The 12,014-nt window shown below is 42.1% G+C and overlaps 1 protein-coding gene and 1 long non-coding RNA gene across 6 annotated transcripts in view; one reads left to right on the forward strand and one right to left on the reverse strand.

The window, feature by feature from the left end:
* Positions 1–12,014, forward strand: part of LOC101927157 (uncharacterized) — a 76,511-nt gene that overhangs the window by 29,328 nt on the left and 35,169 nt on the right. The window lies entirely within an intron of this gene.
* CNGA1 (cyclic nucleotide gated channel subunit alpha 1) overlaps positions 1–12,014 on the reverse strand; it is an 80,705-nt gene that overhangs the window by 7,578 nt on the left and 61,113 nt on the right. For all 5 annotated transcript variants that reach the window (XM_005248049.5, XM_011513623.3, NM_001379270.1 and 2 more), the window contains 3 exons: positions 9,029–9,149; positions 7,799–7,915; positions 6,279–6,341 (listed from right to left, as the gene is read on the reverse strand). In XM_005248049.5, coding sequence (XP_005248106.3) covers positions 6,279–6,341; positions 7,799–7,915; positions 9,029–9,147 — 299 coding nt within the window. In that variant the 5' untranslated portion in view covers positions 9,148–9,149. The remainder of the gene's footprint in view (positions 1–6,278; positions 6,342–7,798; positions 7,916–9,028; positions 9,150–12,014) is intronic.

Here is a 12,014-nt window from a genome sequence, read left to right on the forward strand (position 1 = left end):
TTCTACCCCAAAAAGTGGGGGGTGGGGCAGACAATTATCCAGATAATAAACAAGAACTTCTAAGCTAATAGATTTGGGAAATAGAAACAAATGGAGATGAATAAAGGCATAAAACCAAGGAGAAAAATTTAAGAAACAACAGCCCCCCAAGAGTGTTCTTCGAAAGTGTTAATGTATTAAAAATAATATTTAAAATTTAAGCTTCTTGACATCATTTACATTTATCCTTGAATAAAATCATTCAGAATTTTAAGAAAATGCCATCAATTTTCTTTAGAGGGGATAACCCTGACTGAAGTCATTTTTCATGAGTAATCAACAAGCTGTCTGGTAATATGGTGGAATCTCAGTTATTAGAATAATTTACCAGATTTAAGGCCACCTTTTTCCACATACAATTTCTTCTTGAGTGGAGACTGTGTAACTAGTGCCTCTTTCTATGATTAGCTTTCTCTATCAGCAGGGGAATAGATTCTGAAGTCAGACAGACCTAGGGTTATAGCAGGCTGCCATTGTCAGCTCAGAAGTCTTAGGAAATTTCATTAGCCAGACATGAATGAACAGGCATCTTGTTACCACTAGGATAGTCAGAGAAGGCTTTTAAAGGGAAGTAGTTCTAAAGCTAGGCCTCAAAGTATCACTAAGACTTGGAGTTGAGAAGAAGAGAGAGGATGTTAGAGCAGGAAAATTTCTAAGTGCAATGGACTCAATCTGGGTAAGAATGACCCAACAGAAGTGGAAAGCCTCTGTTAAGAAGAAATGGAAGATAAGATTGACAAGTGAGGTGAGGCTTAACATCTAAGATGGTCACGTACAAACAGGGACAGAACAATAAAGTTGGATAAGGAAGAATTTACTGCTATGGGAGTACACTTCTATTCAAGATTTGACAGCCTAGCATGGATCCTGAAGGATGATGTCGACACACTACTCAAATGGCTCTTGGAAACCTGGAAAAAGGTAATGGTCCACACAAAATGAAATAAACATTAACACCATGGCAGATGGTGGAGGAAGGTATCAAAAGACTCAGAAAAGTGGCATCTTGAAGTGGATACACTGTTTGGAAGATAGCCTACCAGCTAATTATGTTCCCAAAGAGGGCTCAAAGGATGCAAAAGTGATGTGGAATGGGCTGGTGAGAGGGATATTATCAGCTTTGAGAAGTTCAGTGGTACTATCCTCTGTAGGCCAGGGCTGATGGTGGGAAATGTCATTACAGAACTGAGTTCTCTGAGAGCAATAGGGATAATAGGATCTAGAAATAACTGAGACTAATGGCAGTGCTTACCCATCAGAAGTAAGGTTGGTCCAGTAATTATAATGAGCATTAAGGTGGGGATGGTAACCAAGGGTCTTAACCCATAGACAGCTATGGAGGAGGTTAATAGAATATAGTATTCCTAGACAGATGGGAAGCCTGTTAGCTAGTTAGGGTATTATTTAATGTATACAACCAAAATGAATCAGGAATGAATAATTAGGAGGTTGAGGGCAACTTACTCCATCAAAAAAATCAGAATCCTAGTAGGGCATGGTGGCTTATGGCTATAATCTCAGCACTTTGGGAGGTTGAGGCGGGAGGATCACTTGAGCCCAGGAGTTCAAGACCAGCCCGGGCAACATAGCAAGACCCCATCTCAAAAAATAAATTGATTCATTACAATTTAAATTTTAAAAAAATCAGAATCCTTTGAACAGTTCCAGACCTAAGCCAGTACTTAGACCTAAGCCAGTACTTAGACCTAAAACCAATGACTAGAGGAGAAGCCAAGACCCATGAAGAAAGACTCTGCAACAGTATGACAAACATATTCCAGTAACGATTTCCCTGGTCTTTCTCCTAAAGAACCTATGACCATTACTTAGATCACTATACTCTGGGGGAAAAAAGAATACTTAGATACATTGAAGACTGTTTGGCACAGGATCCATGTTGATGTTGACACCTAGGGATTGAAGCATCATCGTGGCCCCCTGTTAAACTTGAGGGGCATATGATGGACTGGTAATAATAGATTCCTGGATGAGATATGACTTATGGTGTTTCCCACTGGGTCCACAGACCCACTACTATGTGATCATTTCTCCAGTTCCTAAATGTAAAAGTGAAATGTATGTAATTCTTGAATATAAAAGTAGAATGTATATAAGTTCCTGAATATAAAAGAGAAATGTATATAATTGTATAAAATCATGCATGGAGGAGTGGTGGTCTCTCTTAATTTCCCCATGTAATTTATCATCTGACTCCCACAAAAACCAAATAGATCCTAGTGGATGGCAGAGAGACTACTGCAAAATCAACCAAGTAGTAGCCCCAATTGCAGCTGACATGTCCTATGTGGAAAATAACACAGTGACCCACTCTGTGATCATTTCTCCAGTTCCTAAATGTATAAGTGTAATGTACATAATTCCTGAATACAAAAGGGAAATGTATATAGTTGGTCATCGGCACAACTCCCACCCCTACCCCACTAGTTCCTTGGCTTGTGAGGAAAGAGGTGTAAGACCGAGGAGAAGCCCTTAAGCTGCTTCCCACCTTCTGGCCAAAAGCAACATTGCATCCTGGGGAGAAAAAGAAATGCCATCCTTAAAGACCTAATGCATGCAGGGGTGGTGATCGCTCTTCATTTCCCCACATAATTCATCATCAGACCCCTGCAAAAACCAAATGGATCCTAATGGATAGCAATAGACAATTGCAAAATCAACCAAGTAGTAGCCCCAATTGCAGCTGCTGTGTCATATGTGGAAAACAATGCATTCACTTGATATACACTGCATACCTAAGGTTCTGGGTCAGTCATTGTGAATGTCATTTTTCATTACTATCAGGAAAGAGGATCAGACATAGCTCATACTCACAGGGGATAACAAACTGTACACACCTACACTCTTTTCCAAGGCTATATTAACTTTCTTTCCTACTGTCATGACAGCCTTGAGGGACCTGGATCACGTGGACATTTCTCAGAGCACCACATTAGTCCACTATATCTGCATCAATGGCATTCTGTTAGTCAGGCCCTGAAATAGGATTACCTAACCATGGGACATAAAAAGAATGCCCATTATGAGATGGATTCTGTCAGAAACAACAATTCATAATGTATCAATCCGTCATATGATGAAGTAAGATATCTGGGATTGAGCATGAATCAGAGCAAATAAGTAAGCTGCCCAGGCAGGTGGCTCAGTACCCTTCGTCTTTTTCTTTCTTTCTTTCTTTCTTTCTTTCTTTTTTTGAGGAGTCTTGCTCTGTCACCCAGGCAGGAGTGCGGTGGCACAATCTCGGCTCACTGCAACCTCTGCCTCCCAGTTCAAGTGATTCCCCTGCCTCAGCCTCCCAAGTAGCTGGGACTAAAGGCGTGCACCACCACACCTGGTTAATTTTTGTATTTTTAGTAGAAATGAGGTTTCACCATGTAGGTTGGCCAGGCTGGTCTCGATTCCTGACCTTAGGTGGTCTGCCTGCCTCGGCCTCCCAAAGTGCTGGGATTACAGGTGTGAGCCACCATGCCCGGCCTTCAGTACCCTTCTTTATGTCATTTCCACGTTGGAAATTTCCATTTATTTTCCACTATGTCATTTTCCACTCAGCACCTATTTATCAGCCCCCACCTGTGGTCATATGTGGGGTTCTTTAGAAGGAGCTGATACAGCATGTTGCATAGATGGGTCAGTTTAGAATGTGGATGCAAGCCAAAATGGTCTGTGTCTGCACCACAGCCTCACTTAGAGGTGGTCTTGAAAGTGTGAGGTTAATTTCCCCAATGGCACAGCTTCAAGCAGTATACAGTCATCTAGTTTGTATGGAAAAAGAAATAGCCCAGACTGGGTCCGATGGCTCAAGCCTGTAATCCCAGCACTTTAGGACGCTGAGGTGGGAGGATCACGTGAGGCCAAGGAGTTAGAGACCAGCCTGGCCAACATGGCGAAACCCCACTAAAAATACAAAAATTAGCCAGGCGTGGTGGCTCACGCCTGTAATCCCAGCTACTTGGGAGGCTGAGGCAGGAGGATCATTTGATCCCGGGAGATGGAGGCTGCAGTGAGCCAAGATTGCACCACTGCGCTCCAGCACAGGCAACTGAGTGAGTACCTGTCTCAAAAAAGAAAAGAAAAAAAAAGGGAAAAAGAAATAGCCCAAATTAAGAATATACATGTGTAAAAGGACTCGTGGGCAGTCACAAATGCCTTGACTGGTTGGTCAGGGACCTGGATGGAAAACGATGGAAAGATCAGGGAAAATATTTCAGAAGAGGCAGACTGAATGGACATATTATGAGTGTGAGCACAAAGTTTGAAAATCTTTGTTTTTATTTGTCTGTTTTTTGCTCGTAGTGAACATGCCTGTTACAGAGACCAATGCTATGACTCCAAAACAGTGCTTTCTCCTGAGGAAAGTAATCAGTCACTTGATGGCAAGTTAACTAAATTGGACTCCTGACACCATGGAAGGGGCATCAAATATATTGATAAGAACTGACATATATTATGACTATTCATTTGCTTTTTTGCCACAGGGCTTTGACCAGTGCCATTATTTAGGGGCATATGAAGCATGATCACTATATATGAAATATTGCTTAACATCACTTTGGACCAAGGACCCACTTTAAGGCAAAAAAAAAAAAATGTGGCATTGGAACCTGAGTTTGGGATCCAGTGGTCCTATCATAAGCTGCACACCTTTGTCAGCTACTGACATGATAGTTAAGGAGGGACTTTTTGAAACCACAGCTGAAGTGCTATCATAGAGTTTATACTCTAGGAAGAAAAGGTGCCATCCTCTAGGATACTGTATATATGCTAAAACAATGATCATTGTATGGTTCTCTATGCCTGTATAGAATGCATTGGTCTGGGAACTATGGGGTCTAAGTAGGGGTGACAAATGTAGGAAAGGTATGTTTCCCATTCTTGCAACTTAAGGATCTATGGATCTAGAGGTCCTGGCTTCCAGAGGGGTGATGCATCTGCCAGGGAATGCCAGAGTTCCATTAAACATTAAGCTACGGCTACTCCCCAGCCACTTTGGTCCCCTCATGCCCAACAGGCAAGGAAGAGAGTCACCACACTGGCAAAAGTTATTGACCGTGATCATCAGAAGTAGGCAGTGCTGTATACAATGCAGGGAGGGGAGATGTATTTGCACCTAGGTGGTCTTTTGGTATTTTCCAGCCCAGTTTTGGTGGTAAATGGGCAAGTACTGTAGCCATGACTCAAGAAGGGCATGGTGACCCAGGGCTCAAGTTCTTCAGGGATGAGTGTCTGTACTGTTCCACCAGCTAAGTCATCTAGACCAGCAGATGTGCTGGCTAAGGGTGAGAGGACCCTAGAATGAGTAGAAGCGGAGAGGGTGAAGAATTTCATTTGAGGCCTCAAAACCACCTGCAACTGCCAGAGACCTTAGTTTAATCCCATTAACTTTACTCTTATAAGCTTTCTCAGGAAAAAATAACCAGGATCCTGGAGTAGGTATTCCCACATGGGGTGAATTTTCTATATAAACAAAATGGATCTGGGCAGCACACGGTTGGGCCATACAGTGGCTATGCAGGTGGTGCACAAAATTCAGGCACTCATTCCCCACTTGCCAAGAGTGTTGGTTGCTGTCAGCTCAGTTTTTCCTCTCCCTTGGCTGGCCTTGGCTGAAGGAAACCACCATGCTCCATCCAGATGGTTATGCTCCATCTTCTAGGGCCAACTTTTTTCCAATAACTGTGCATGGGAACAAAGGCCCAAGTCTATTACCTAAATAGGGACAACTCTAAAAGGTCATCCCTGCTCCAGGGATCCCCAGAGAATCACATTGTACATCAGCTCTATTCTCTGAAGTTCGACTTCTCCCTCTGCCCAATACTGACCCCCAACTCCCTTCCAGATATTGTTCCCAAGACCATTCCCAACAAACTTCTGCATACAAGCCTCCATCTCAGAAACTGTCTCCTGAGGAAATTCACCTAAGACACATTGGCTCAAACTGGAAAGGAGTAATATTTCCTGACAAAAATTCACTTATTTTTGTCAGTCACTCTATTCACAGAGAAAGTCAACTGCATGAACACTATAGACATGATTTTTTCTACATGTATTCAAATAAATGAATGAACACTACTTTTCAACAAAATGATAAGACTATCATTGCCATTGTATTAGATCATTTGATTAATAAATGTTTCCTCTATAACAGATTCAGATATATTCCTACATTTTTACTGGTTTTCTTTAAAACCAAAACTTTGGTTTTCTATTGTAAATATACTTACTGGTCCTTATTGCTGCTGTTGTTCACATTAAAAAGTGCAATGGCACCAGGCAGGTACTGCTCCCTGGGAAATGAAAAACATGCAGTGAAATCACAGTAGTCACCATCTGTATAATGTCCATGGTAGGCAAATGGTCTGAAAAAACAAATTCTTCTCCATTTCTACTCATTACTAAAGACTATGTAGATGATAGATATTTCAAAAACATATTATGAAGCATAAAGCATAAAAGTATATCCTGAGCCTCCATGAAGCATGACTTGCCAAATGCCAGTGTCTTGAACAAACATAGTGATATGGTTTGGCTGTGTCCCCACCCAAATCTCATCTTGAATTATAGCTCCCATAATCCCCACATGCCACGGGAGGGACCCAGTGGGAAGTAATTGAATCATAGGGGTGGGTGTTGCCCATGCCATTCTCGTGCTAGTAAATAAGTCTCACAAGATCTGATGGTTTTATAAAGGGCAGTTCCCCTGCACATGCTCTCTTGCCTGCCACCATGTAAGACATGACTTTGCTCCTCCTTTGCCTTCTGCCATGATTGTGAGGCCTCCCCAGCCATGTGGAACTGTGAGTCCAGTAAGCCTCTTTTTCTTTATAAATTAACCAGTCTCGGGTATTTCTTCATAACATTATGAAAATGGACATGGTTAGTAAATGCATATCAGTCAATGTTCATACCAAGAATTAGCTTAAGTGAACCAACCTCAATGCCAGTAACTCCCAACAAGAAACCTAAGACTGTTAGGGAAAGTAAGATGAGGAGAAAAGCTAAATAAAAACAATGGGAAGGCTGGAGGTAGTCAATGGGAAGAAAAATAAGAAAAAGGAAAAAAAAGTAAAGAAAGAGTAATTATGTAAAACAGGTGGAAACCCCAGCTCCAACACCAATACCACACCACACCCCTTCTGCAATCTCAAGTCCGGTATCTGAAGTTTTCACAACTTCTTTATTTCCTACTAAGGATATTTTTGCTTTTCTCTTCTAGCACCTCTCTCCAGTGCTCTATTTCCTAAAAGTAGGACCAAAAGGGATGGAGCATTTTAGAGAATAACAGCCAACCCTCTCACATGTACTTGCTTCAGGACCCTGAAAGAAGGATCAGAGAGAAACAAGAAATCAGAAAGGACTGGGTTTCTTAAGGGACAGACCCCAGTGGGTCTCAGGGAAAATGAAGCAAGAGTGTTTACAACTTGGAACGCCATGGCCATAAATAATCATCGGGCAGTGGCAATATTTCCCAAGAGACGGCATGGGTAAGGAACAGAAGTAATTCCTCCTGAGATCCCACATTGTGTGTAGATAGCAGAGGCATTTGCCGAGCTTGCTCCGAAACAACAGTTTACAAACCCATTTATGCCTAGTGTTTGATTATTGGAACGCTAAGCATGTGGGAGTTATTTCTATCCTACTGCTCAAGGTCATCACCATGATCTGATTGCAAAAATTCAAAACACTGCAACCTTAAGCATAAATGGTTAAAAACAAGCACCAAGGGATGGATCATACTGCTCACCTCTGTGATGGTCCTCCCTTTCTGAGTGACTTATAACTAAAGGAACCCCTTGCATGAGGGTTTTCATTCTCTGATTCTTCAGATGTAGAGGCACTGTCATCATCCTCAGAAAAGGAGCTACAGTCCAATAGGAGGCAGAGAGAGAAGAGTTAATGTTTTCAACCACTGCAGAGAGGCAACATTCCTCACTAGGGGGACAATTGCCTCACCTCTTTTCCTTCCCTCTCAAACTAACACACATAACAATTTTTAGTTAGCATAAAGTTAGAACTATACAAAATACATAGAATTATATAAAATATGTGCATAATTCAGTAAAATGCATTTAACTAAGAAACTAGTTTCTAGGTTTTCCACATTCCTATTGTTTGATGCATTGGTTGATGTTAATATTTATCAAATAGCAAGTGTGATATCTGGGACTTAGATCATATTATACCTTTGTGTGAACTAGTTTTCTAACTAATGTTTCGTCCCACTAAAAGTAAATTCAACCACATTCATATACATTATATTCATTTATAGGGTAAGCACTTTAAATTATACTTTTAAATCACATTGCTAGCATTTCATACTCTGAGTACTTTTCATATGTATCTATGGCAATGTCATCTCTTTAGATTCAAAATGTCACTTGAGGAAAAGCCCTGCCATTGACTAAAGAAATGTTTGGCATAGGTGCTTAATAGATGCTTCCAAAAAAGTGACCACAATAATATCTATGTTCAGGCTGGGCATGGTGGCTCATGCCTGTAATCCCAACACTTTGGGAGGCCGAGGCAGGCAGATCACTTGAGGTCAGGAGTTCGTGACCAGCCTGGCCAATATGGCAAAACCCTGTCTCTACTAAAAATACAAAAAAAAAATTAGCCTGGTGTGGTGGTGCACACATGTAGTCCCAGCTACCTGGGAGGCTGAGGCAAGAGAATCACTTGAACCCAGAAGGCAGAGGTTGCAGTGAGCTGAGATTGTGCCACTGCGTTCCAGCCTGTGCAACAGAGTGAGACTCCATCTCAAAATAAATAAATAAATAAATAAATAAATAAATAAATAAATAAAATCTATGTTCATTTGTTAGACAAGTTATGCAGTTCCAAAGTGTAAATAAATTTGCTAAATACATTACAAAGTTCAAGGTTACAAATTATAAAGCTAAATTGAAATTAAATCTAGTTAAATTAAAGAACTGTAGCTAATAATAAAAATGCATGGGAAAATGTTTGGATTTACCTGCATGCTCCATTTTCCATCCTTCGTATTTCCTTTTCAATATCTGGTACAATCACATTGGGCATGGTTACAAAAGACTGCTGTGTATTGATAATATTGTTCTTCATGGATAGTTTCATATCTGAGGAGAAAGAAGTCTTATTAGTGGAAAGGCTATTTTTATATATTTACATATATAATCAAAAGTTTCACCCTATGTATTAGTCTGTCCTCATGCTGCTAATAAAGACATACCTGAGACTGGGTAATTTATAAAGGAAAGAGGTTTAATGGACTTGTAGCTCCACATGGCTAGGGGGAGCCTCACAATCATGGCAGAAAGCAAAGGAGAAGCAAAGACACATCTTACATGGCAGCAGGCAAGAGAGCTTGTGCAGCAGAACTCCCCTTTATAAAACCATCAGATCTCATGAGACTTATTCACTATCATGAGACTAGCATGGGAAAAACTCACTCCCATGATTCCACTGCCTCCCACTGAGTTCCTCCCATGACACATAGGGATTATGGGAGCCGCACTTTAAGATGAAGTTTGGGTGGGTACACAGCCAAACCATATCAACCCTACCATTTTTCTAAGACTATATAATACCATCTGTTTGCAGTTTTACATAGGAATTATTCTTTAATAGAATGCAGGCATGGCCTGTTCCCCTAATTTCCATTGACCAGTTTTTTGTAAAAAAATTTTTAATTTAAGAATGTACCAGACTTATAAAACATTTATAAATTTGGATTTATCCCAGTTTTGAAATACTCAAGCAATGTAACTGTAGAACAAAACCATAGGGACCTCGCATACCCATCAAGCAATTAAATAACAGTAAAAAGCAGTAGATGTAATGGAGGTAATCTGCTGTGAATTTCCATAGGCATTTGGACAAAAAGGGTCTTGAGTAGTATTCAAACTTTAGAGGAAAGAGAGATAAAATTGATCACATTTTTAGCAAGTCCCCTAAATTATTCAGATGCATATATACCCAAGCAACATATTTTGAAAACACTGGCCTAAACTCTAGTCAGGACATATTATTTCCTCAGCTCAGGTAGAGGAGGCAGGGTGGAATTTCAATTCACTTTCCAGCTGCTCCCAGCACAGGCCATGCCCCTTTGGCTGCTGTCTGAGACTCTGCCTTCTTCACTGGCTTCAGCTTCCGTTTGTCTATGATTTCTGTTCATGGTCCTCAGGAAGGATCCTCTCTCCAGTTTGAGGGAACCCACCTTGAGAATGCCAGTAACTGATAACGGGAAGGGGGACAGGGAAGTGCTGGGTAGAGAAGAGTGGGGTCCCCGGCGAGGGCTCCACACTCGGGCCTTATGCCCTCGGACCTTATGCCCTCGGACCTAAGTGAAAACAGGCACTCCTGTTTTCGCCTCAATGTTGCATTTTCTGAGACCACTCTAGCTGTCACGTCCCCCCCATCCTGTGCCCATATAAACCTGAGACCTTAGCGGGCACACACACAAGCGGCTGAATGTCGAGAGGAACAGAGTGGCAGAGAATAGCAGAGAGCGGCAGAGAGTGGTGGAGAGCAGCAGAGCAGCACGGCAGAGAAGGAGGGAAGAGGCGTCTGAACATCAAGAGGAGTTGCGTCCAGAACGGCGGAACTCCAGGGGAAGATTATCCCCACACCCCTCCACCTTCCCGGAATTCCAGCTCCCCATCCCGCTGAAAGTCACCTCCACTGTTCAACAAAGTCTCAGCATTCATTACCTTTCAAACAGTTCATATGACCTGATTTGTCCAGTACTCTGGAAAAGAATGGAGGTGGGGAGGTTAACACTCAGCTGTCCCCGGACAGCAAGGCTAAAGGAGCTCACTATAACACATGCCCACTTGGGCTCTGGCACCTTTCCGTCTGCGTGCTCCCCCTTCCCTCAGGGGTTTGAGCAGCGGCGGGGGAGGGGACCAAACAGGTGAGCCACACCCCTGCCGCACGTCCTGCAAGGGGAATCAGAAAACCTTCCCATTTTATAACCACATGAAAGATGACATCGCCTGCATCTTCCATGGCTTCCAATACTCGGTGCCAGAATGGTTCTGACTGCAGAGTGGTGAATGTTCCTCCTCCTAATTCCCTACTGGCCTTGATCACCTAGGCGTGGAGTTTGATACCTGCCCTTAAAAGAGCCAGCCACTTAAAGAACATACTTCTGTTCAAAACGTGCACATGTGAGGCACCCCTTCAGGGATTCCCTGGAAAACCTTACGAGCCTTTTTGAAGGGGGGGTAAAGCTGAAGGCCCTCTGGGTGTAGGTGGAGCTGAAATTCTGTGCCGTTGATGACTATGCAAATTTATTTGGATCCAAAGACTCCATGGGCCCAGGGACCTTTAGGCTATATTCAAACAGGGCTGCTATGTAAAGGTACTCACCGATATAGCTAGACCAGTTGTTTATAACCATCCTTTATAACTATCCTTTTCTGATAGTTAAGTGCTCACGACTGTAATAGTTGTTAAATATTTTAGTATCACTTTTTCCTAATTTTGTTACTTAACAGTTTTGTGTACATGCCTCAGTGACTCAATTAGGATATGAATTCTTGGAATCCAATAAAATTTCTTTTTCTCTGTCTCTTTTTTCTTTTCTTTTTTTTTTTTTTTTTTTTTTTTTTTGAGACAGAGTCTCACTCTATCACCTAGGCTGGAGTGCAGTGGTGCGATATCAGCTCACTGCAACCTCTGCCTCCTGGTTTTGAGCTGTTCTCCTGTCTCAGCCTCCCAAGTAGCTGGGATTACAGGCGCCCACCACCACGCCTGGCTAATTTTTGTATTTTTACTAGAGACAGGGTTTCGCCATGTTGGTCAGGCTGGTCTCCAACTCCTGACCTCAGGTGATCCGCCCCCTTCAGCCTCTCAAAGTGCTGGGATTACAGGCGTGAGCCACCGCGCCTGGCCCATATAACAATTTTTTTAATGATTGGTCTATGCTATGAGAACAGATTATTACTAAGGTACAAAGTGGTGTTCCAGCTGCAGTTCCC

Source organism: Homo sapiens, chromosome 4 (assembly GCF_000001405.40).
Source record: "Homo sapiens chromosome 4, GRCh38.p14 Primary Assembly".
Taxonomy (NCBI): Eukaryota; Metazoa; Chordata; class Mammalia; order Primates; family Hominidae; genus Homo; species Homo sapiens.